Here is a 27,812-nt window from a genome sequence, read left to right as displayed (position 1 = left end):
GCAGAAACCCTAAGAGCTGGTCCCAGCCTCTGTAAATATGCCTCTGGTGACACTGAGCTCATTACTCACCATTGCTAGGCAGCTATAATGGAACATGTATTCTAATGTTAGGCCAACATCTGTCATCTTTTTATTTCTACCTATTTGCCTTCTGGAACAACACAGAAATAACTACCTCTCCTTCTCAAAGAATCCTTAGTTAAGTATATTTAATGAACTCTGATGTAATAAAGACCACTTTGGTGTATCGAATTTTGCTTGTTTTTTACTAAACTTACTCATCTCAATATGGTGTTATTAGCAGCTCCACTATCACCCTCCTCTAGGAATATCTCTACGATGAAGGAGTGAAAAGCTGTTTATCCCTAAAGAGCTGTCTCCTATCTTCTTTGTGATTTCACATATCTCCTTTTTCAGAAACTCTACTTCTCTCTCCTTCCAATCCATTCTGATGAATAAATTCTATGCTGCTTAGCTGTCTGAATGTGATCAAGATTAGAATTACAGTTGCAGGGAAAACCAGATAAGTATGTACTATATATCTAACTTAAACTCACTTTGTGCCAGAGGGAAATGTGTGTGGGCTTTATGTTTTCGTTGTACAGGTGATCTCTCTTGCTCTTAGCTCACACTAAGGAAAGAAAAGGCAACATGCTTAGTGTATGGTTAGGAATAGGTTTCATGAGTCTAGCCCACTGAGTTGGCACAATTGCCTCTAATGCTGCATTGAGAATAAATCTCAGGCCAAGTTGGACTTTACCAAAAAATAACATCTTAACTATTGAAAGTTATTGCATAGTCTGGTACAGGGCAGGGTCAATGTAGTTGGTACATGTGACATGCATTTACCAAGATTCATAAAGCAGAATAAGCACTGGTTTGGAGTCCTGCAACTGAAGTTCAAACTTCTGGTATCAGAAATTACTAGTTTAGTGACTTTAAACTATCAACATCTCTGCCTACAATTTTCTCATCAGTAAATTTGGAATAAAAAATAACAATAGTTCCCAATTGGCCTATTGTGTGAATCAATTGAAATAACTCTTTCAAATTCTATAAACATTGAGTGTACCTTAATATACCAGATACTCTGGTATCATGCCAAGAATAAAATGATAAATGAGTCAAGGTATGTGCCCTTGAGAAGCTGAGTCAAATGGCAGAAACAGAGAAATAAACATAATTTTAATATAATACAGTAAAGGCATTGATAACTGAATCACAAACTGTTATGATAACACAAACGATGAGCAGTCTATCAGTTATAATGATTTCTGCAGCAACTGTTAAATACTCTGATAGAAACTGGCTTTAACAGTAAGGAAATATATTGTCTCACATAACAGCCAGTGCTCACACTGTTGATTCAGTGGCTCAACAGTATCTTCCAGGACCCATAGTATCTTTCCATCTCTGACCTACTGTACACAGTAATGCCTTTATCCTGAAGCTACATATCCTGTTATAATAAGATGGATCACAGCAGCAATTAAAACAACACCCTTCCTTGTTCAAGTCCCTCTTCTCATATCTTGTTGACCTAAATAAATTTAACGTTACCCATTTCTGAACCAATAACCTATAAAGGAAATAAAATTACCATTAATGGCTGTGACAAATAATCTTGCACAGGTGATAAACATAATATTCACTTGAGATTCTAGACCAGCATAAAATAGTTGGAGTGAGAGTGAAGAAAATGTTTCTTGAAGGACACCAATTCAAGTTTTTAAAGGATAAATAAGAATTAGCCAAAGAAGAAGAGGAGGATAAGCATCTCAGGCAGGGGAACAACATGACTCTTACTGTGGAAGCAAATTACCATCAAGGTAACAGAGGTAAAGGAGCACTGATTATGAGCTATGGAATTTCAGAGCACAAAAGGTTACACACTATGAATTCCTGACTCATGAATCAGTTAAAGTATATGTATACATTAATTTAGTAATTCAAAAAATATTTGATTATAAGATTAAGTAAAAAAAATTATTGATTTTGCATGGGGTAGAAGGGCCTTTCTAGGAAGGCTTTTTTTTTTTCCCCACTATATTTCCTGAACACATTTGAACAGGTACAGAATGTGTAAACCTCTGATTACTTTTCCTTTTCTAGTCATACTGGCCATACCACCAGTATAAATTACTCTGTCATAATGGAGAAGTGTTTTATCCATGTTCATTACTTTTTTTGTGTCTACATAGAGGGAAAACTGGTAAATGTGTCAAGAGTAATGAGCCAATGGTCATATGAAACAGCAAAATACCACTTTAAAATACATTTCAGAAAGTGAAAACAAAACTGTGTCCCTGTGACTAATGCTATAACTAATCCCTGTTATTCGCATTACAGTGGAATACAATAGGGAATAGAAAAACTTAGGACATGTCTGGGGGGAAGATGAAAAGGATAGCAAGGGTGACAATCTCACATTAATTCTCACTGAAAGGTTGGGTTGACCATTTAATCACATGAGCTACATTTTGAAATATCAGTACAATCTATGACTCATTTTGCTTCTTGAATCATATAGAATGGGAACAGAAAGTCGATTGCCTAAGAAGAATTTCAGAAGAGATAGAAAAAGGAGACAGCACTCCTATGAGAGACACAGGCACAACTCAGGAAGCAATTTGCTCTAAGCTATTTCTAAATATTAAAGTCTGGAAAAAACAGATTACATTTAGTCTGATTGTGAAACACTGGTGGAGTAGTGATGGGAACAGTCATTTATTTAGGCCCCTTTCTAAAGGAGAAAAAAGACAAAAGCTATCTTGCAATGTCTACGTATGCAGCAGGGTGGAAATTGGAAGTAATTCAAAATACAATGCCTGTTTATAGAGACAACATACAGTAAATATATTTAAACCTGCATTGCAGTTCCTCTCTCTTTAGCATTTAAATTGATTCACCAGTTTACATCTACTCCCACCTTCACGTCAAATGTGGATGGGGAAACTCTGATTAGAATGAGTCTCTATTTTTCTCTTTTGGAGTCCCTCATTGCCAAACATTATTAGAGTTTCATCTTTAATTTCACTGCAAGACAACTAAATGAAAGGGAACGAGGAACTTGGCTACAAAAACTTTCTAATTTAATCTCCCTTGCAGTCTGATTCCTGTAGCGTGAACAGCACAGCCTGATCTTATTGACACTTCCAACTGCAATGTCAGGTTCATTTCAAAATTTAATACAATGTATTTGTCATCACCACATTTCCTTAGGTAAGGACACTGACACCAAACTGCTACCAGTTGGTGGTCTGCAAAAGACAGCCTGCTGAAATGAAAATTCTCTCCTCTAAACCTAAATAACTCATCTCACATATTGCGTGTCTTCTGTTCCTGCAAGAGAACACTATTGCTTTCCACTATTTGATCATTTAGTAATTCATAGGTAACAATAAAGAAGCAAAAAAAAAAAAAATTTACTCACTGCTTGCTTCTGGAATATTTCAAGAATTTCAAGAATAACTTCTGCAGCAGGAAACAAGAAACAAGATTAGGACCAATACTACTACTTTTTTTTTTTTTTTTTTTTTTTGAGACGGAGTTTAGCTTTGTCACCAGGCTGGAGTACAGTGGCGCAATCTTGGCTCACTGCAACCTCCGCCTCCCAGGTTCAAGCGATTCTCCTGTCTCAGCCTCCCGAATAGCTGGGATTACAGGCATGTGCCGCCATGCCCAGCTAATTTCTGTATTTTTAGTAGAGATGGGGTTTCACCATATTGTCCAGGATGGTCTCAATCTCCTGACCTCAAGTGATCCGCCCACCTTGACCTCCCAAAGTGCTGGAATTACAGGTGTGAGCCACTGTGCCTGGACCAATACTATTCTTGATTCTAACTAAGTGTAAGACATGCCTTGTAAGACATGCTGTAGCCTACTTCTCTGTTATATGCTAACATTATGAAGCTGCCCATTGTCCTTCTTTGGCTTACAACTGTGTTTTTCAAAGTCTGGTCCCTGGATCAACACCAGCATCACCTGGGAACTTGCCAGAAATACAAGTTCTTGAGCCCTATTCTAGCCCTACTGAATCAGAAACTCTGGGGTAGGGGCTGGAAACATGTGTTTTTACAAGCCCACCAGGTGATTCTGATGCCTACTAGTTTTAGAACCACTGATCTAGAAGAAACAAGATAAGAGCACCATGTCTCTCCAACATTTCAGACCCAATTTTCCTATACAAGTAATTACCTTAACACCCAGTAGAGGTCTGTTTGTCTTTTTCTTTTTCAGAACTATTCCAATACAATCTGGAATCAACTAAAAAATGAAAATAAGAGTAACCTAGTCCCCCTCCAGAGTCACACATGACTCAATAGTTGAAAAACAAGACTCAAGATGATGATGTATGTTACCCAGATGGCCTAACTGGAAAATAAATGGAATTCAATAATATGTTTTATGTTTTCATAGGGAAAACAGAAGCAGTATATTGAAGCCCTTTGAATAATGGCAAATAATGAATAAAGACTGAGGGTTGTTCAAAATATTGAATGATCTCTCATGAGATAGTATATCATTTCTGCTTTGAAAGGTAATTCTTTAAAAACTATCATCAACATGGTATGATTTGAATTGGATTTTGTATCTCCTATAGGAATGGATTGACTAAATATCTTTCCAAGTATCTTTGTCTTAGTTTGAGCTGTGTCATAATGAAACTCTGTGACAAAGATTCCCGGACAAGTACTTATTGGGAAGCCATGCCAGGGAGCCAGTCACAAAGTGGGGAAGTGAGGCAGGAAAGGGAGGAGCCTGGTAAAGAGTAGGTAATCAATAAGGAAACAGCTTCAAACATACACCTCCAGGCTATTTCAACTGAGAAGAAAGAAGCTGGGTGTGTATCACCAACTCTCAATCAATAGTTGAAGACTGCTCCCTGGGGTTGCCAATTCCCTAGCAAGACTGCAGTGAACAGAGACAATTCTTAGGCAAAGAGATGTAGGTGATATCAGCTGGAATTTCAGGCTGACACCCACAAAAATGGGAAATGGCCAAGGGGATCTGGGCAGGAAACAAAGGTGTGTGCTACAACCCATTACTTCTGACTATTCCAAAGGGCCATTTCTCTGAATCTGCATTGCTAATACAAATGCATGTCCATGTTTATTCTCCCATTCTTCGATTCTTCCAAACAGGTGGCAAGATGTTGGCAAGATAAGATTCTCGTCCCTATATAAAGGTAAGTGGGAGTCTTCCTACACAAATAAAAAATTGATAGCATAAGAAAAAATGATAGTTACTTTCTTAAAAAAGAAAAATCTGATTACTATTATCCTTTCTAAAATGCACATCTTAATAAACCGCATATTTATTTTAACCAAGTTGCCATTTCTCAAAACTTTTAGAAAATCCACATTTTAACTTTATTTTAGAGCCTACATATCCTCAGGTGGCTCGAATTTTATAGCATCTCTTTAAATAGGTTGATTCACTGAAGGAATATACTTATGTGAAAAAGAAATATCTGATGAATAATCTATTCTTCTTTCATCCTAAAATACAAGAAAATAAATATTATACTAAAATAGCATTTAGAATATCTTATAAGCAAAAGCAAAAACTTACAGAGCAGAAGTAAAGCAGCATTTGTTAACAACACGAGATACAACATAATCGAAGAGTTTAAAAATAAAGACAACACAAAAGGAGTTCTCTTTAGAATTCTGGTGAATCGCAAAATATTCCAAAAAATAATTTTTATTTGAATGGAGTCTGGAGTCTGACATTACTCTCACAGGTAAGCCAAAGAACATTTTTGAGATCTAAAAATAAAACAAACAAACAAAACAAAACTTTCAACTCCAATCACAGACGTAAAAACATTTAAAGAATATTTGATCCAACTTAGGTAAATGATTATTCTAACACATTTCCACCAGTTGAAGTCCTCCTTAAAAAGTACTTACAGTGTTAGAGCTTACAAGTACATGCCATTTTAGCCAAGATTAAAGGTAACATTCTTGGAGTGTTCACAGTTAATGATTTAAGGCAAAGACCCCTAGAAAAATATCCTTGAAATAAAAAGCAAAGCTACTTTAATGATGCAAAATCATTCCTAGTGCCGTGCAAATATATACACAGCTTGAGAAAAATATTTGCATGGAAAATGCATAGTGCAACTGTGAAAATAAAAAAACCTTGTATGCAAGGGAGTGTTTTTGGCAACACTGCAGAACTCTAACTCCATGCCTCTCAACATGTGAACTTTGTTCTTTGTGATCTATTACACTCTTCAGTAGTGTGGGCATTTGCCTTCTAGAAGTGCAGATTGTATGTTGCATTATCCCTGAATGAAGATGTTTGCTGAAACATGTAAACACTTTTTTTCAAGATAGCCTATTTGGCAAATTATGGGGCAAAAGTTATGGGTGAGTGCTCCAGGTCTGACTGCTACAGCAGGCAGACAGGTGTTTATCCAATGACCCCATGGAGTCTTCTGCCCACTTTGCATTGTGGGCACATGAAAGATGATACATAGTAGTCACTTGCCAGCCACTGGGAACACTGTCCACTGGCCTGGCATTATGAGGGTTTTTCCAACTTGCTTTTGAAGATGTCACTTGGTGGTAAACTTTGATCAATCACCAGTGACACCTGGCAATAACGAACCAGTTATATGTTTGAGAATTGATGTTTAAAATGCAGTGAGTAAATTTGATATTCTAAGGGAGAAATATGTTGGGCTTGCATTTTTGAATCTCACTCCATTTACATTTCAAGTGCTACTTTGAAATGAGGAAACATACTTGTCAATGAGACAAGAATAACCTATGCATATTCAACGCTCCGTAAATGTCTATTGACATTTGATAAGATATTGTGCAGAGGACAGAAATCAAAGCTATTCCATCAATCAGAGACTCGGAAATCAGATTCCAAATAAGAACACTCATTTATACAATCTATTAAGCAATTTACCTCTTGAAAATAAATATCACTGACTAACATAATGTTTGCTATAATTACAGGCTTGAGGGAGAAAGAGGAGCTTCAGTGGCACTGATAGTATTGCTAATAAATCAAAGTAGAAAATGGAACAAAGCAGAGATAGCTGTAGGAATTAGAGATGACTACTCAAATCTAAGATAACCCAAAGTAGACCACATTCTTAAACTAATCCACAAAGTTTAGGCACATCAGAAATTGCTATTTCCATATACTCCCTGGTTTCAATGTGACATAGATTATATATTTTTGAAGTTTGTAAGCTAATGGTCTAAACAAACTCCTGGGGAAGAGCAATATGTCTTCCTAGCAGCTAACAAGGACACCCAACAAGACACTGTCGAGAGCCCTACAGAATCTTGGTCAAGCTTATGTAGAAATCTCATGGTTCCACAATTTGAATGGGACATAGATACTTGGCAGGGATGTTGAATGTTCCTTTCTAAACACCTATATGCAGGATATCTAGAAGGAGATCATATGTAAAAGCCTAAAAATGGTAAACAAGCCAAGTTACCCTTACAAATTAAGGTAGGCCTCAAGTCTGAGTAGATCTAATGTAAGTGGTTTTTTAAAAAATCAAAAATAAAGTATTTCTTTTGGTCTCATCTGTTAAATTCAAAACAAATTCTGAAAGAAAGTGTCTATGAAGCAATTAATAAACCAAGAGTGATGGAGGAAAATATCAAATGTTACAAAGAAAAAAACAAAAGGAAATCAAAGGACACTGTATATCTCAAACCTGTCATTCTCCAGGCATTTAAATTAATGTCAACAGTTCTGTCAACTCCTGTAGTTATGGAAAAAACCTGATAATATGTAGGAGTCAAACAGGAGCACTTCTCTGCCAAACTTCTATCATCAATCACCCAGATTCACACTGAAGCTGAACCACAAAAAGTGTAACCAGACCACATTTTCAGTTTCACACAGAACAAAAGACAGCTTCAGCCACTAGGAGGCCAAGCATGTTCCCAGAACCACGACCATGGCCATTGCCCCACAAACGATGAGGGAGTCATTCAGGTATTTAAAAACCAAAAAGACTTCACGGAGCTGATATGAACAAATATTAATTCCCTCTTCTGCACACATAAGTTCAGTGTGTAGGTCAAAAGCTGAAAATTAGTCATTTCACAGGAATAAGCAAGAAAGCTCTAAAACTGCTGTAAAACAGTAAAGCTGATGATTGTAGAAGGCTCAGCATAAATTATGAAAGAAGTTCCTAGCCAAGTGGACAGAGATATCATGACAACCCTCCAATATCTGCTGTGAGATAACAAAGCATGAGAGTCATTTATCACTGGGTTCCAACCAAACCAATGATCTTTGTGTTTCCTTAGCTGGAGCTGGGGAGGAAGAATTAGTTATGGCTATTCGAATCCTCCTTATTATTTTCATGTTTTAAAAGAATGCTCTTCGACCAATTCTTCAGGACCGGGTAGAATAATAATTGTACTTTAAAATATACATAAAATAAGTTTATGGCTTTTTGGAATGGTTATATGCCATTCAAAAAATCATTGCCACTTCACTAATCATTGTTATATAACTAATTTAACTCTCACAGTCTTAAGAGTGAGAGGGAGGTTTTATTACCCCACTTGGCAGCTGAAAGAAAGGATGCTTCCTAGTTAAATAAATTTCCTGAGACAACCTAGCAGGTGAGTAGCAGAGTTGAAACTGCAACCTATCTAACTCTAGAGCTCATGTTTTAAACTTCCATACTTCACTTCTTACTCCAAACTCAACACAGAACACTTCTGTAACCACACAATTCTCCAACACCACCTGGGCATCCTGCAATTTAACTCAACTCTAACACTATCTATTTGGAGTTAGCATTAGATCCCACAGGTTATGGTCTCAGTCCTTCAAGACTGCCGCTCACTTCAGATGCCCGTCTCAAGTCCCAGACTGTCGCCTGTGCTTCTGACCCATGGTTATACATCGGGGTTCCCACAACTCCTTCCTCAGGTCCTATAATTTCCTAGGACATATTACAGAACTCAGGGAAACATTTTACATGTATTGGTTTATCATAAAGGATATTACAAAGAATATACATGAAAAGCCAGAAGAGATTCATGAGGAAAAGATGCACAGGGCAAGGTATGGGGGACAGAGTGCAGGGCTTCCATCCCCTTGCTGGGATCTGCCACCCTCTCAGCACTGCCACATTTCCAGCAGCCCAGAAGCTCTCTGTACCTCATAGTTCAGAGGTGTTTATGTAAGTAGGATCAATAATTAACCCAATCTCCAGCCCCTCTCTTGTTTCCAGTGGGTGAACTGAAATACCTAAGCTTCTAATCATGGTTTGGTCTTTCTGGTGATCATCTCCCATCCAGAAGCTCACCAAGCATTACTTCATTAGAATAAGGCAGGCCTTGCACTCAGGAAATTCCAAGGGATTTAAGAGCTGTGTCAGGAACCACGATTAAAGACCAACTATGAAAACAAAAGATTCTCCTAGCACCCCTGTATCTCAGGAAATAACCAGGGTTTTAGGAGCTCTGTGATAAGGAGCCAGGGACGAAGACCAAAAAATATACGTCTTATTAGAAAACACAATATCACACAAACAAAAGCAATACGAAAGTGATCTGTTACTAAATTGCACATATGTTACCACAATTCAAAAATTATATGTTAATATTCACAGGAGTTGCTATTAGTTTTAACTCTGCTGTAGCTAATACAATCTGTTATTGCCCTTTAATTAAATAATCACCTGGTTTCCACAGGGAACCAATTACATCACCTGACAAAATCTATATCTGTGTAATTATGGTAATGATTGAAAAGAAATGAAGAAAGGATGAAGAGAGGGAGGGAGGGAGAGAGAAAAAAAGGAATGAAAAGCTTTGCAATATATATCAACCCTGTGTGCTCTGAATCTATTTTGTGATTTACTTCTGTTCTATGGATTACTTAGCTGCATAAGTTCAAAACGCTTCATTCCACATATCATGAGCATTATAAGTGGGGCTTCTCATGGCAGAGCTGATTAATAAATATACACGATATTCTTCCAAGGTACTGAAATTTTTTTCAAGTTCAGGATCAAGGTTTTACATGTCACTTTTCTTATTTCCACATGACACATGTTTTCTGAATCACCTTTCATTTCAAATAACCTACCAGGTGCTTGCTGATTGAGGAAAGACATCATTGTTAATAGTTTTGTAAATCTTGACAACTTGTATTTAAAAACAGTTCTTTGGAAATGTTAGTATTGTGTCTATAGCTGATTCAACTCTAATGTCATATAAACAAAAAGCCACCTAGTTTTGTTTGGTTCTTTTTTTAACTTGCAGGATGTTTCAGTCCTGGATTCTTAACAAGATGACATTTGTTTATAATATATAAAGGCATGTTATACATTGGCTTTTACTTGTTTTATATTGATAAGTTGAACACTATCCAAGAGATTTGTTCTCTGTTTTTTTGACAAATTAAAAACTCTTAAGAAATCTCTAGGTTTGCTGTATTGCATTTAAGTACAATCAAATAGTGTTCTGTCATGGAGTATGTGGACCCATATTAAGTCACGGCACCTTACTTTGCAGCAATGTGTCACTCGATGTAAACATAAATATTCAAGGATAAGAAAGGCTGTGCTTCTCTTCCTCATGAGAATGATCTATTGAAGGGTGGTCATGTGTTATTTGGCTGATACTTAACATCCTAACACCTCTAGTGGGTCACTGGGTCATACCGCGGTCATTCTGGCAGACGGCCTTCAGAATACGATGTCCCAGGCCACATTTTCCATGATCAGGGAAACAGATCCCTTCTGATGCCAGCCATCGGTAGCACATTGGATCCTCACAAGGAACAGACTCCACCAAATGAGGGCAATGCCCTGCAGGCCCTGTAGATTCCATGAGGACATGGCGCTGCCTCGTTCTAAATCCTAAAAAGAGAGAGAAAAGAATTTTCAGAGAATTCCACTCTTTTCCAGGAAAGGAAAAGAAGCAGCTGGGTGAGAGATGAAAAGTTTTATTCAAGTACTCATCGCTCTAAGCACGTATTATCTTGATGTGTTTTATTCTATGTGAAGTGAGAGGATGAGATGTAGAAAAAAAAGAGAATGGGAAAGAATAAAAGCAGGAAATCTGTCTTCCAAGAGTTTACAACCTAGGAGTTGGAGAAGTCAGACATAATTCAATGGAATAATAAGTAGCGTAAGTCCTATGGTATCAATAAACCAGTAAAAATAAATGGAGACTCAGAAATGATCTAAATATAGATTAATCCACATTTTCTTTTTGCTGTTGATTTTGACATTCTTGTTACGCTGCATTCGGTTAAAATACATTACCTCTCTGGCATCTCCATGGCGCCTGACCATTCACAACTTCCTGCTCCGAGATTTATCTGCATCATGTCACTGAGGTTTACACATCAGTCTGCCTCATAAAGACAATATCTCTTTGGAGTTCACTTTCCACCCAGGCTAGACATGGGTCAATGATTGTTATTATGTTTAAAAAAAGTGTACTGTGGGACTAGGGCCTCAAAGTCCCAGCCAGAGACTGTAATAAGAACATAGATGTATTTTACATGCTATGGGCCCAGAGAGTCACAAATGCAAATCAACAGGAGTCAAGCAGGTACACATCGAGGCAAATGGGTCAACCATGAGACTGCAGCGAGTGTTTGGGTTAATGGGCCTGCTCTAAAATGCCTGACTACTATTCAGCTTCCGTTGACTCTTGGCCTTAGAGATCATGAACCCTCTGTTAACAGATCCTTCCATTTTGTCTAAGAAACCAGAAATCCCTCTATTTTTAAATGATAAAAACTAATGCACAATTTTTAAAAAACAAAGTGACCTAATAAAGAAGGACTGAGAACCAGATTGAACCCTTTAGTGTAAATTTTCAATCTCTGGCCCCCATGATATACCACTTCTAAAGGCTACGTCTACCTTTTGTGGATCTCATACCTTCCATCGTTTCTATTCCAAATTCAATCAACAGATTCCTTTAATTCCTTTTTCTTTTAACAAAACCAACAGTTTTGCATGAATAACATTTTAAGAAATTGTTATTCATTTATTCCTCGGAGTAAGTAAAGAAAATGAGAGAGTTTGATAGCACAGAGAACATTCAATTCCCAGAGTGAAAGCTGCATATCCCACCACTCTTCCCACAAGGGGAGGGGAGAAGGACAAGTTAGGGAGCATGAGAGGTAACATCTCTCTCATGAAAAAGTTACACACCTCAAGGTATAGTTGGAGAAAGACCAACCTCTCTTAAATAGCACAGCCAAGGAGGCTAGAACACAATGAACATGTGGTTTTGAGAAACAAGAAAAAGCTACAGAGAGGTTCTGGGTTAACTTAGATTAAAAAAAAAAAAAAAACCTCAAATAAAGCACTTAAAAATCCTTACCTAAAATACTAAGTATTTTAGCAAAGTACAGGGCTGGGCAAGAATTTTAGGTAAGGATTTTTAAGTGCTTTGAGTTTTTTTTTTTTTTTTCCTAAGATAACCCAGAACCTCCCTTTAAAAGAGACTCCTAGACTCTTTAAGGATTAGCTACCTTGGGAAGAAATCATTCAGCCAGTCAGAGGCTATATTCTCATGGCATTGACATGGTTAAGATCAGAGCGGTTAAAAAAAAAATAATAATGGTTTCTGCCGTGCTTTATACCTCCATACCTCCATGTCTATATCATTAACTAGCCAAATAAAATCTACAGAAGGGCTCATATTGCTTCCTAAGCCACCTTGAAAGGAGATGCATACACGGCTGTAAACTTCACTTGACGAGCATCAAACTACAATGACCTACGAGCTCTCACTGCCACAAAACTCGAATGACCTCTATTCTTATATGTAACATCTGCATGCTGCTTATTTATTGTCTTATATTTTTGCTTGTTTTGATTTTATCTTTGAGCAAGACATGGCATGAGTCACCATGATTTACACTGTTTGACAACTAGCCCAGACTTGAGCACAGAAACTTAGAAGTCTTTATGAAGGATTCTGGGTGTCCTATTATTTGGAGCTTAATGCCATTGAGGGGCATGTTCAGTTTTCCTCCATAAATCAAGTTGCATCCATCTTGCCATAAATCTATAGATTACCTCTCCTCAGTCAATAAATTCCTTCAGTCTTTCATTTGTGCTGCCCTTGTCCTGACTCTAACTAGGATCAAACCACAGCACAAGCTCAGCATAAAACAAAAACCCTGGATTCTCTTGCTAGCACTTAACTTTAATCACACATCGCTGTTCATGCCTGCAATAGACATCAGGCATCTCCCAGGTACTTCTGTTCTGAAAGATAGACAATTGCCAAGTCCATAGTGGTTGGGGGCCAGCCAACCAATCACTTTCATTTATTGAGTTTCATATTAATCAGATGATATTATTCCATAAATATTAACTGTCATTTGCACATCACTTTCCTGTACTATGGGAAGCCACAGGAGGAACCAGAAATGTGTATTCTTCTCAAAGCATAAAACCTAACAAGGGAAAAAGGCACATGCATAAACTAACATCCACCCTTTACCAAGACTGGGACAGTAACTTTATTACTCTAAATGAATCAAGCCTCAAAACTATGTTATAAGTTACTATTCCCATTTTGCATGTGTGAAAACTAAGATGCCACTTTATTACTTCTCCAAAGGTGCATTATTACTGATTAAATGGATGGGTGTGAAAATCAGCAGAAGTCTTTCAGAGTCATTGCCTCCTCACAAGAAAAGATTAAAGTCGGCTCCTGTGGATATTGTGTTTTCGCCACACTTTATAAAGTGAACCTGAAAGGCACCGTGGTTTAGTTGAAGGTACTAAAGGTGAGTAGATTGGACAGTGGAATTTTAGATGCTGCACAGCAGGGGAGAGCCATAATCAACATTTCCTGACCACAGATTCAATTCACCTTTAGTGAAACTAGTATCTGCAGGGTTTATTTTTTTCTATGACTCCAAGAATTAATATTTAGTGTATAATTCTACAGGAGATAATTAGAAAAGAATGGGCAGTGGGTTGGGGAGAGAAAAGGGAAGACGAGCAGATGGCAGAAAAGGGGTCAGTGTTTTTTAATTGAAGCCATGGAAGAATTAAAAGAGGCTCCGGAGGGTATATCCAGATCTGAGGGCTGTATTTCTGCATGAGTTAGTGGATCAGAAGTGTACACATGAGCTATCCACAGGCAATGTTATGTCTCAACACCGACTCCATTGGGACAGGCGTGAAGAAAGTCCAGCAGGTTCCAGCCTGGCCAATATGGTAAAACTCCATCTCTACTAAAAATACAAAAAAATTAGCCAGGCAGGGTGGCACCTGCCTGTAATCCCAGCTACTCAGGAGGCTGAGGCAGAACTGCTTGAACCCAGGAGGTGGAGGTTGCCGTGAGACGAGATCACGCCACTGCACTCCAGCCTGGGTGACAGAGTGAGACTCTGTCTCAGAAAATAAATAAATAAATAAATAAATAATAAAATAAAAATTATAAAAAAGAAAGTCTAGCAGGTTAAACAAACAGGACAGAAGCTTATTCTGTCTTAAGTACTTCATTTGCTCTTCCTCTCTGGCGGCCCTGAACTTTGGGTAACAACTCTGAGTGAAAGAATCTGAGCATATTGAAGCTTCAATCCTAACCCTTTAGAAATCAACCACCATCCTGCAGGGATAGTATCTTATAGTATCATTATTAGTCCACAGCCTGGTGTAAATCCAGAAACTAAGAAGACACACTGATAGGGTGAAGTCAGCATGAGAACTCCCAAAGCTTAGAATGAGAAGTTAACAGAACGCCCCACCCACCCCAAACACATAGACACAGAAAAAAGAAACAACTATCTCTTAGCATTTCCTATCTATGAGAAAGCAAAATGATTTTATAGACTTCTCATTCAAGGGAAAGCCTATCTAGCAGACAAGGATGGAAAATGGAAATATCCCCCATTTTTGGTATGTAACATCTAAAACATGAGAGTATTTTCCAACTTTAGCATGTTATCTAATTTGTTTAAGAGCATAAAAGACTGTCTTCAAAAAAGAGTCATGGCTTCTCAGTTTCAAAGTATCTTGTCCTTTGGGAATTTTTAAGGACTTGGGTGCTCTCACTGAGGGAAGGAATCCCTGAAGTCCTTCCACCTAAGCAGCTGGCTGTTGTGACACTCTATAGGGAGCCTCCAGCAAATTCCTCTTTAGAACAACTTCAGTGGGCAATTCTGCCTTTCTAGTATATGTCTGAAAAGGATAAGGATGTCATATAAATGTGTGTCTATATATCAAGAAAAAATTTTAAAATGTATCACATCTATGTGTAGAGTTTGTCTAAGAGTATTTATTTTTTCAGGCTAATTCTCTTATATATCTCTAATTATAACACTCTGGGAGTGTATCAAAGACAAAGCAATAAATGATAAAACCTGACCCAATTTAAATTCCTCTGAAAGGCATCCTAGCTTTACTTGACAAGCACCAACCTGCCGATCATGGTTCCCTTGTCTGCCTGTCATGACGCGATGGAAGGGTGTGAAGGCTGTGAACACTGGCTGATTTTCTAATGTACTCTGAATAACCAACAGCCACAAGCCTTCCATGATTCCTAATGGAAGGATTTCTGATTAAGAATAAAAGTCATGTAAAGATAATTTCTATAGTAACTAATTTCTTCTATTCCGCAATAAAACATTTCCTACTTTCCCATTCCTTTCTACTTTTTTTCTTAATGTGAACAAAGGAAATGTACCAGAGCAATAACACGATGACTAGGAAAGCCTAGAGAGGAGAAAAATGATATTCTCTCCTACTCTCCACATTCATTTTTTTTTGCTGTTGTTTGCTTGCTTTTCTCTTAAATACTCCATCTTTCTGTGTGTATGTGTGTGCATGCACGTGTGTGTGTGTGTGTGTGTGTATTTTTTAAGAGTATGAAATATCTAGGAAAGTATAAATATCCTAGATTTCTGCTAGTGGAATCACTGCATTTTAGAGTAGAGAATTCAGATGTGAAGCTAAACACTCCCGCTTATATCCCAGAGTTTTGCAATGTTTAATGCATTAGCCTGTGTACCCCAGCTTCTGTAGAATTCTGAAGTATCTTTAGTTTGTACCACTCAGTGATCCTGGCAGAACTCCCATGATTCTACTCACAGTAGAATCATGGGACAGACACCAAGACTGAGGGGGATCTCAGACCTAATACACACAAGTCAGTAGAAATAACAAGACTACTTGCTGTCATCATAACATGCTTGGATACCTTGAAGGAACAGAATCATTTCCCTAGAGGGAAAACTCTATTCTTCATTCTTCCCAAGAGGGAATATAGGCAGGTGGTCCTGGCAGGTTTTAACAAGACCTTACAAACCAAAATTCTCTCTGCTCTAGGGGAGCATTTATAAAATACCAAACTCCTAGACCTGAATAACAATCATCAGGGCTTACCATCCCTCCTGTCAGTGACTACAGTTCAGGAGGCAGCCATTCAGCCACAGAATGGGTTCTATTAAAAAACGGCTAATTCTCATCAATCTCAACATGTCCCTAAACTCTGCAGGAGGCTGTGGGGACAGTACCACCTTCAGGTGAGAGGTTCTACTGCCTCCATCCTCTCCTTCAGCACTTTTCTTTCACTCTTTCTTTTTTTTTATTATACTTTAGGTTCTAGGGTACATGTACACAACTTGCAGGTTTGTTACATATGTATACATGTGACATGTTGGTGGGCTGCACCCATTAACTCGTCATTTACATTAGGTATATCTCCTAATGCCATTCCTCCCCTCTCCCCCACCCCACGACAGGCCCCGGTGTGTGATGTTCCCCTTCCTGTGTCCAAGTGTTCTCATTGTTCAATTCCCACCTATGAGTGAGAATATGCGGTGTTTGGTTTTTTGTCCTTGCGATAGTTTGCTGAGAATGATGGTTTCCAGCTTCATCCATGTCCCTACAAAGGATATGAATTCACCCTTTTTTATGGCTGCATAGTATTCTATGGTGTATATGTGCCCCATTTTCTTAATCCAGTCTATCATTGTTGGACATTTGGGTTGGTTCCAAGTATTTGCTATTGTGAGTAGTGCCACAACAAACATATGTGTGCATGGGTCTTTATAGCAGCATGATTTATAATCCTTTGGGTATATACCCAGTAATGGGATGGCTGGGTCAAATGGTATTTCTAGCTCCAGATCCTTGAGGAATCGCCACAGTGTCTTCCACAATGGTTGAACTAGTTTACAATCCCACCAACAGTGTAAAAGTGTTCCTATTTCTCCACATCCTCTCCAGCACCTGTTGTTTCCTGACTTTTTAATGATCGCCATTCTAACTGGCGTGAGATGGTATCTCATTGTGGTTTTGATTTGCATTTCTCTGATGGCCAGTGATGATGCCTTAAGCCCTTTTCAAAGGCTGAGTCTCCCTTTGAAAAAAGTATTGATTGGGGCAAAACACTCCCCACCTCTGGTTATCTAGTGCTCTTAAGCTACTCTCAGCACAACCTCCTGCCCTCCCACAACTGCAGCCTCTTTTCCCCCTTCATCCAATGACAACGTACTGGCACTAGATACATCCCATGCCCCATAACTTGTCTCCTGCATCTGCTCAATGATTTGCTCTTAGGCATAATGGCTCACACTGACCAATGTGGTGCATGATGGGCAGATGGCTTCTCTTCTCAGAACTGAGCTTGTACTTTGATCCAAACTTCTTTAGGCTGATGGAGAAAATCAACTAAGGAAGCTTAGGGTTTGGAGGGACACTGGACTAAAGAGACAGGAAACCAGATCCTTACTGCCAACATGGCCATCATTAAATTACCATGGGACTTTAGACAAATTACCTTACTTCTTGACACTTTGGTGTTGTCATTTTGTGAAGTGCTGTATCCTTGTTGAGCCTAAATGCTGATTCAAAGTTGGGCAGTGTATTAGTTTCTAGAGCTGTCATAACTAAGTACTGGAAATTGGGTAGCTTAAATCAATAGAAATGTATCATCTTCAGAGTTCTGCAGGCTGGAAGCCTGAAATCAAGGTGTCAGCAGGGCCATGCTCCACATGCTCCCTCTGGAGGCTTTACAGAAGAATCTGTGCCATGCCTCTCTCCTAGCTTCTGGTGGTTGTGGTTCTCCACGGTGCTCCTTGGCTTGGAACACATTACTCCCAATGTCTGCCTTCATCTTCATGTGGCCTCTCTTCTTCTGTGTCTCAATGTCCTCACATGGCACTCTCCTCTCTGTGTATGTCACTATGCCCAAATTTTCCTCTTCTTGCAAGAACACCAGTCACTGGAATAGAGCCTACCTTAATCCAGTATGACCTAATCTTAACTTCATTACTTCTGAAATAATCCTATTTCCAAATAACATCCTACTCATATGTACCAGGGGTTGGGATTTGAACACATCTTTTTGGGGGCATACCATTCAACCTACAGCAAGTGGTGTCTTATGAATGATGGACCAGGGTATATCTGCACAGGTTGACTTTTACTATAGAGAAATAGAGGCCAATGAGGATAAAGTTTGGCAAAAAATGTTACTTGGCGGAATGGGGCCAAGGGAGGGGGTCTGAAGTTCCATGGGCCAGTTCCGAATTATCCGGAAAAATAAAACTGAAAGTTCAAGGAGCCAGTTTTTAACAGGAGTTTTGTGAAAATTGGAGCTCAAGTGACAAAAAAACACAACACAGAATTAGGGCAACCAGCCTGATCAACATGGAGAAACCCCGTCTCTACTAAAAACACAAAAATTAATCAGACATGGTGGCGCATGCCTGCAATCCCAGCTACTCGGGAGGCTGAGGCAGGAGAATTGCTTGAACCCAGGAGGCAGAGGTTGTGGTGAGCCAAGATCACGCCATTGCACTCCAGCCTGGGCAACAAGAGTGAAACTCAAAAGAAGGGGAAAGGGAAATGGAAAGTGAAAGGAAAAGGGAAAGGGAGGAAGAAAGGAAGGAAGGGAGGGAGGGAGGAAGGAAAGAAAGGAAAGAAAAAGAAAGAAAGCAGGCAAAAGCATTCTTTGAATTGCCATAGAGAATCCATGGCCCAGAACGAAGGGGAGAAAGCATTTAGTAAACATCTATTTAACAAGCACCTATAAAATCTGACCCTCAGAACTGCTTCTACCTGCCTGCAGTACCAGTACCTCATTTTTTTTCTGAGGGAGTCACATTTCCCCATTCTCTGTCTTTGAAGTTTGAAGGGAACTGTCCCTCTCCTGATCCCAGTGGTGGCCACATGTCCAGGATTTGAACATGTAAACCCCACATCCTCCAGTCAGAGTAGTTGGTTCAGGAATGAGGACATGACATAAAACAGCCAATGAGATTCAACTCCAGGACTCTTCCGGGGACCAATGGAAAAGACATTTCTTTCTGCTTTATGTACTACCTTAAATTGAACCTAATATAGAGAAAAGCAGACACAAGAGATGGAGAGAGAGAGAAATGTAAAGGTAAAGAAAGAATTAGAAAACAAGACGGAGACCCATTGGCCTGTTTATACTCTTGGATGCAGCCCTATCCTCTCTTCTCATTTCAGCTACATGAGCTCAAACCAGTCTCTTCTGACTTAGGCTGGTTATCAATTGGGTTTCTGTCACCTATAACCATTAGTCTCCCAAGTAATATAACCAAGAGTCTCCCAGATCTACTTGGTCTGATGTGGTTCTACAGCTTTGAAAGTAGATGAAGGCAGCACTTCATGCAGCAAAGTGATGTCACAGCCACAGTGACTGGAGGAGCCTTGGTCCAACCTCACATGATTTTCTGGACAGTGACCTAAACAGGAGCAGCACAGGCTAAACATAAGATGACTGTTCTAAAAATATGTAAATCACCCTGAAGAATCTCGTATACAACTACATGCAACTGACTATATATGTGTAGATCATAAGACTGCAAACTATAGGTATTAGTATAAATGGAAACTTATTTGTGTCCACAAGCTGCGGAGGCGTGGGGGACATTCTGGTTACATGTCAAATAAGAGAATTGCCCAAGGCCCTCTCCAGGCTTCTTTGACATCCAGATTTCTATGGTTTGATAAAAGAATGAAAGTTAGCTTCCACCTGCCTGAAAGCCAATACACATCTTCCTTTCTACCTTAGAACAAGAGTCAGAATGAAAGGAAAAGCCCAGGAACAGGGGTAAGTGAGTCTGGGTGTGCACATGTGTGTATATGAGCACTCTAGGAATTACTGAAATGTGGGTTTTCAAGTGAATGTAGCAGTAAGCAGTGAGCAGGGTGCTAGGTATGCAAGCATGCTAGCATCAAGTGTTTGGCCATGGATTCTTGCTTTGCATGTAATAACTAGAACCTAATTTCTGGAATGTCCTTGGATCTCATTTCTCTTGGTAAAGGAAATATTTTTTTTAGTACTGTCATTTAAGGGAACACAGTATCAATAGAAACTAAAGGGTCAATGAAAGAGAAGGCAAGATATCACTAGGAGTAAACTTTTGAAGATGAAGACACGTATTTTGATTACAAACTAAAGAAAACTAGACCATAGAGGCCTACAAAAATAAACAGGAATATAAAGGTTGAAGATTTTTCCTTAAGCCCAAGATCAATATCAGAAACTAAACAATATACATAATGACCCTTGCAAAAATCTAAAATATAACATCAAATGTTAAATGTGGAAATCTGAAAAGAATTATATAGATTTGCGAAACATTTCTTTTCAGATGTGAGCGTGGAAATCATGTCCAATTTCCCCCATATAACCATTATATATAAAAAACATGAAGTGGCCAGGCACAGTGGCTCACGCCTGTAATCCCAGCACTTTAGGAGACTGACGTGGGCAGATCACGAGGTCAGGAGTTCGAGACCAGCCTGGAAAACATGGTGAAACCCCATCTCTACTAAAAATACAAAAATTAGCAGGGCTTGGTTGCAAGCACCTGTAATCCCAGCTACTTGGGAGGCTGAGTCCGGAGAATAGTTTGAACCCAGGAGGCAGAGATTGCAGTGAGCCAAGATCGTGCCATTGCACTCCAGCCTGGGTGACAGAGCAAGACCTCATCTTGGAAAACAAAACAAAACAAAACAAAAGATGAAGTTATACCAAATAGAGTAGTAGTCAGCTATGAGTCTAACTGAAGGTAAATCAAGGTGAGATTGTGCACTCCACAGAAATGTCCCAGTTGCCTCCCTAAAACTGAATACCGTTAGGCTTGAGCTGGTTATCTAAATTTTACAAACAAATATTGTCTTAAGCAGGCTTAATCAGTGACTTAGCTACCAGAATAAATGTTTGTACGCTGACAGCAAATGAAGCGCATGCAAACAAGGCACTCACCTTTTTTCCCCTGAGGATCATGACAGTTTTCATGGATGCACAGGCCCCAGGCTGACCAGGAAGATACTATGCAGTCCGTAGAGCAAGGGATATTGCAGAGCTGAGAGGGCAACGGGGCGGGTCCCACACATAATGCCTTTTCCACAGGTCTAGAGACTGAGGGACAAAAAGATAACGGACCATGTCACATTCTCTGGACATCCTTAGCATTGCTTCTGCCTTTATTTGCATGCCTGTCTTGCAAATAAAACATTATAGTTAAAAAGAACATATGCAAAGAAAACATCAACACTTTCTAATATGTGTTGTTTAGCTTCACATGACTAGTATTTTGGTTGAGAAAAGGCAAAGAAGACAGAGGCAAAGTGCATGCGCTTGAAATTCCTGCTTTGCAGGGTATTCACTGGGAATCTAAGAGAGAACTGGAAATATCATAGATACAAATTATCTAGAGTTATGACTTTTTAAAAAATTAAATGGCTTTGTGAAGTTTCAAGATGAGTCTATCTCATCTATATAAATGACTAGGTCACTGTGAAAAAAATCCAGATTGAAGCCCTCAGGTGGAGTGTTTAGCATAACCAATTTACTGCTGCGACTCCCCTGAGCGAGGGAGCTGGCAAAGATACACAAGAAAAATCGTACTTAGGATAAGAAGAAAATTCAGAATCTGTGACTGCAGAACTGGCCCTTGGAAATCAGTTTCATTTGTGAGGCTACACAGAGGCCCAAATGTCCTCTTGGAAAATGACTAGTAGCTTCTGTCTCTTCCTGGTGTGCACCTGCACCCAGAGTGGGCCCACATGGAGGTCACTTCAGGTCGCAGCAACCATGTTTCCAACAACAGTGTTCACCATGTGTCCTCTGTATGCAGATGCTTTTTTTTTCTTTTTATTTTTTGCTCTTTTAAATTTAATTAATTAATTAATTAATTTTTTTTTGAGACAGGGTTTCACCCTGTCACCCAGGCTGGAGTGCAGTGGTACCATCATAGCTCACTGTAGCATCAACTTAATCGATCTTCCTACCTCAGCCTCCTGAGTAGCTGGGACCACTGGTGCAATGTCACCATGATCGGCTAATTTTTTCTATTGCTTTTTGTAGAGAGAAGGTCTCCCTATGTTCCCTAGGCTGTTCTGAGACCCCTGGGCTCAAGCAATCTGCCTTCATCAGCCTCCCAAAGTGCTGGGATTACACACGTGAGCCACCATGCCTGGCCGCCAGGAGACTCTTTCTAGGCACCATGAGAATACACAGAAGAAGGAGAAGATAAGATCCCAATCCTTGTGAAGACTGTAATTTTATAGGAGCTAGGATAGTAATACTTGGAGATGACACTCTAAAGGACCAGACAAATGCATTAAGTAATTACTCTTGCACAGAGAGACCCTAAACTAGGAAGGCTTTGGAGCAATCTAGAGTTTTTTTTAACAAATGGTTAAAGTTCCGAAAATGTTATTTTACACACTAGTTTGTACTATTGTCTAAATATTTCTGATATGTCATTTCTATTCAGTTGAGCACACTAGAAATGCTTCCAAGGTGGACACTGCAGTAAGAGGAGTGAGTTGTAAATCATACCATCTACTTTCTGCCTTACCCTTAACACGTGTAAGAGTCAAATCTGGTAAGAGTGAAAATAAATTTCAGCACTGACCAGCAGAACTTCGAACACCAAAATAGCAGCAAAATAAAAAAATACCATCATGACAAAGTTGCAACCCATGGGGAAAAAGTATTTCTAATGAACAATGAGGCAACCTGAGCTGCTTATGAGGGTGAAAGGAAAAGAGAGGCTGCGAAACAAAATAATAATGTTTTATTTGCAATTAATTCTTTTCCAGTTTACCAAAAGGATTTGATATGACTTAAAATAAAGGGCAAGTACAAAGCAAGATTGCCAATGTAAATGTTACAGTTTGCAAGCCATGTGGAGGGGACAGAGAAAGGAAGAGAGAACAGGTATTAGGGGAATGTAAAGGGATTGCCCAGGGAGGCTGAGAAGAGGTGGCAATCAAACAAAGATTGTGCTTGAAATGGGAACAATAGGATGAGAAGCTGGAGTGACCGGAACTGGGGATGCACAGATGAGACTGATGAACTGTGTGTAAAGGGGAACCCAAGAGATGGGGAAGGGGTTTGTGATTCATCCCCAGGGTTGAGGAAATCAAGACACACACAAGACAGTCATTCATTGAGTAAATCATGCATTCGTTTCAAACCACTGAGCATCCATCTAAATCAGGCACTCTTGAGTAGTGTCTGGCTACAAGGAGCTCTCAGTCTAAAAGGGTAAATCAAGCAGTATTTTAACAGAGCTGATGAAAGAGATGTGCCAGAGCATTGTATAAATAGAAAGCTGCATAGCTGGATGGCTTAAGGCAGAAGTGTATTTCAATCTGGTCTTATACATGTTAGCATGTGTTCTCACAAACTCAAACTTTAGTTCCAAAAACAAAACCTTGGTAATGATGGAAAAGAAAGTGGGCCATGTAAGCTGATGTTTAATAAGCATTTATAATGCATGCCAGACACTAGTTATAACCCACTTATCAACATTAATTCATTTAATCTGCATAACTTCCCTTTGAGATATATGTTGTTATTATTCTCTCTAGTTTTAAAATAAGGAAACTGAGGCACAGAAATGTTCACTTATTCACATTCCCAGCTAGTGAGCAGTGGACCTGGGATTGGGATCTAGGCATCTGGGTCTGAGTTTGTCTTCTTAACCACAGCCCTATATGACCTCGGTATTTGTCATTCAACCTATATTAAGTACCTTCCCTGCATAGGACACTTCTCTGGGTGGCCTTGGACTGATACAGTTTTCCCTCTTTGTTGTGTGTAGCTCCCAAAAATAACTGTAGAATGAGCTGAAAATGCAACATCCAGAGATAAGGGGGAAGCCAGCCAAAACAGCCCCGGCTTTGCTCCAGTCCCCCATAAGAACAAGATGTCCTTCAACATTTTTAGCCCAGCATGTCAGGTATCCCCCAAGGTATAAAACCCAAGATGGGCCACTTCTCAGTGTCCCTCATCTGCAGTGCAAGTGGGATATGCACAGTGGAGACCCCATGGGCAGCTTTCTGTACTGTGGGGCACCAGCTCACAATGAATCGTAGGCGTCTGTTGTCCCTTGCTGCCAATCTGTGAGTAATAAATCTGCTTCATATAACTTGTTGCATATGAGTGTATTTGCTCCCACTGGACTCAGACAAGTTGGTGACCAGTGCACAGTGGACCTGCATCACACCATTTGTTAACACAGTGTTAGGTGCTTAAGCTACAATGGTGAGTAAAACATACCAGGTTTCTGTCTTCATAGAGTCCATATTACAGCAAGAATTCATATTAATTGTATATGGGTCCACAAATCCTAATAAGACTGGAAAGCTGTATTACTGCCCTCTTTTCCTTGCCATGACTATCTCTCTCATTACTAAGAAGATACTCTAAGCCCCTCAGCCCCAAGACCCAGCTGACAGCTGCTGCCACAACCTCTGTACTTGATGTTGGGCCCTGCAGTTCAAAGTACTCAATCAACCGGAGCAACTCTCAGGCACACAGTAGGCAAGCACTACAGTGTATCTGAAGCTCCCAGCATGTCTGTGCGGGAAGGGCTTATGGTTGGCAGTGCAGCTGTAAAAAGCCTGGGAAATACGTTCTGAAGCTGCGTTTGTCAAGGACACTGTGTCTCCACAGATATTATGCTTATGTGGCTTATTTTTGGAGGCCTGTTGAGGATTATGGGGGTTGTGAGGTTAAGTCCCCTGAGTCCCCTTTGATAAATACTTAACTGTCAATTAGTTGACTGTTGAACATTAGAACTAATGGTACCCTCAGATTTGAAATTAGAGAAGGACATGGTTTGCTGGAAAAGAACAGGGAGGGATTTCCCCAGGGACTATTAAGTGACATATTGGAGGACCAGGGGTAGGAGAGAGACCATTTATCAAAGTAGTCATGTCTCTTCAGCACCTGCTGTTTTGATGGACAGTGAATCTTAATCCATATCAATAAATTATTCCAGTGTCTGGTGACAAGTCTAAGATGCTTCATTTAGACACTGAATCAATGTGCTTGGGTCAGCCTGTCTCTATCACAGACCCACTAAGCCCACCCCAGGCTAAATTTGTTCTAGAAATAAATCATGAGTAAGTCACAAAGAACTTACCAGCTTCAGACCACTTAGCAAGTCATATCTTCCAGAGAAGAGTAAAAACACAGGATATTTCTATGTTCCAACAGTCAACAGGACTTTCGGAGCTAGAGTGAGCTTCAGAGCTGATTTAGTTTAATTCATCAATTTTACTGAAAAACTAAGCTCCCAAGACTTTGGGTGGTTTCTCCAAGTTCATTCAGCAAGCACAGAGCAAAGCAAGAGCTAAGCCTCTACCCAAGTGGCCAACTCATCTCTGTCTATCCTTCTTGGTTTTCCTTCCATAGAATGAAAACATCAGATAGCGCAGATGTGGTCATTTCTACCAAGGATATTTTGTTTATGAATCACAGTGACCAGAACTGGAGGCAACACGTGACATGACAGATCCAAGAATCTTTAAATAAATTTAACACTTTAAACCCTTTATACCTTTAAATAAAATCCAAATCCTTCCCCTCCTTCATTGCTACTGCAAAACTCCAGTCTTTTCCCAAATGGTCCCCATCAAGGAGGCAGTGAGACCAAAATTTGCTCCAGTTCAAATGACTATCATACTTTTTAAAAATTTGTGGCTGTTCATATTGAAATACATTTATCCCAGGAAGTGGGTGGAGTGAAGGCATTTCCTGGGTCACCTAAAGTTGGGTGATCTATGGAATTTACTGTCTACTGAGTCTTCAGTTCTCTTTGGCCAAACTCCAGCCACGATGTTTGTAGTAAGAACTGCTGCTTTTCTATTCACCTGCACTCCTTTCTCTGAAACTACTGCCTGAAACAAATTTATTTCTATTAATTAGCTCTGTCTTCTCTTAATGCAATGAGGCCCTAGGAGCAGGTCTGTGCTATCCCACTTCCTCCAGCTGCCTCTTAGACCATGTCACCTTGGAGCCTTCTGCCATTCCTAGGCTGACCAACTGCCAGACTAGGTAAGCAATTATCCAAGGTCTTATAGGCTATTTAGGTTTGGTAGACAGCAATGTTAATCCCCACAGAGACTCTTCATGGTCACAAAATGTTAAAGAGTCAAAATAACATATAACTCAGACAAATCTGGATCACTGCCTAGCGGCATCTTTCTAAATGCCAAGGAAAATATTATAGTATTATAAGTGATTGCACATATGCAATAGTCATTAATATTTTGAATATTTTGCTGGTGTCTAAACTGGAATTTTCATTGGCAATATGAAATTATTAAACTGACCTGTCTCACAAGAAATGTTAAAGTCTGCTACTAATGATTGCAAAGTCACCTTAAATAATGAATTCCTCCATGAACAGAATGTTAATTAAGAGGAGGAAAAATATGCTGGGTAGGGGATATGTTTAATGTTAAGGAAAAAAAACTGTTCTTAATTCTAGATATGAACAAAGTTTACCATTTTCCTTAATGACATGGTGAATTCAGATGAGCATACAAATTCATTCAAAATGAATTGTAATTAAGAGGAAAAATGCCTGTTGTGATTATTAGTATGTGACTGCCATTGTAAAGAAAAATGAGTATCATTCTTTGAAATTAAATCAAACTCTACTCCAAACTAATTTGAATTAACCGAGAAATAAGATGCTAAAGAATCAATGAGTATACATTTTCCCACCCCTATTGATAGCCATTTTGTAAGATTTAAATTTCAGTTCATTTAAACTCCTCAAAAAGAAATTAAAATGGAATTGCATAATAGCATTTAATTAATTATAATTAATAACCATGTATCCCTCTTTAGTTTAAATACAGGAAGTTATATTTGCTTAAAGTAAAAAGAGGTACTATAAGAGTCATTGGCGCTTTCTTGTTTTTAAATATATCTATTACTGGATAAAAAATCAAGTCAGTCTTTTTCAAAATTCAGAAAGTGTTTGAGGTAATGCTGGCAAGGCATAATGGAGTTCATCTTTCCCTTAGGACAAAAAGAAGTATCTTACAGATGGTAGAGGAATTCGTCACAAGATACTAATTTTTTTCCCCAGCATTTTCAAAAAAGTAGAGATTAAAAGAAAATAAAGCTACTGTTACTTCCTAAGAACCCCCAAAACCTAAATTGTTTTGTCTGCTTTCTACCTTAGGGGTACCTAAGTAACCCTACAAATAAAACATTCTATCTTCAGTTAATTTTAAATATGATTTTGATTTCCAGAATACAACATCAACCTCCTCAAAGAAGTTAGATAAAGAAGTTACAGTCATTTCAGTTTTCCAAATCAAATGAAGGCACTGTAAACCCGAAAGGAAATGCTCACTCAAAGACTCAGAACTCCCCAATTCCATGGGCTTTTCAAGAAACAACCAAAAATCACCAGCAATTGCTCAAATTTAATTTGAAACTAATGAAAGAGCCTACTTATGTAAAAATGCTACTTTCTAAATGATTTTTGAGAAACAATATTGCCCTTGATATATTCAT

The 27,812-nt window shown here is 39.0% G+C and overlaps 1 protein-coding gene across 2 annotated transcripts in view; it reads right to left on the bottom strand.

Annotated features, from left to right (window-relative positions):
- Positions 1-27,812, bottom strand: part of THSD7B (thrombospondin type 1 domain containing 7B) — a 912,174-nt gene that overhangs the window by 496,108 nt on the left and 388,254 nt on the right. For both annotated transcript variants that reach the window (NM_001316349.2, XM_047445935.1), the window contains exons 6-7: positions 21,243-21,398; positions 10,673-10,870 (exon numbers count right to left, since the gene is read on the bottom strand). In NM_001316349.2, the coding sequence (NP_001303278.1) occupies positions 10,673-10,870; positions 21,243-21,398 (354 nt within the window). The remainder of the gene's footprint in view (positions 1-10,672; positions 10,871-21,242; positions 21,399-27,812) is intronic.

The sequence above is a fragment of the Homo sapiens genome, chromosome 2, assembly GCF_000001405.40.
Source record: "Homo sapiens chromosome 2, GRCh38.p14 Primary Assembly".
Lineage (NCBI taxonomy): Eukaryota > Metazoa > Chordata > Mammalia > Primates > Hominidae > Homo > Homo sapiens.
Note: the sequence above shows the minus strand (reverse complement) of the source record. Positions and strands in the feature narration are given on the sequence as shown.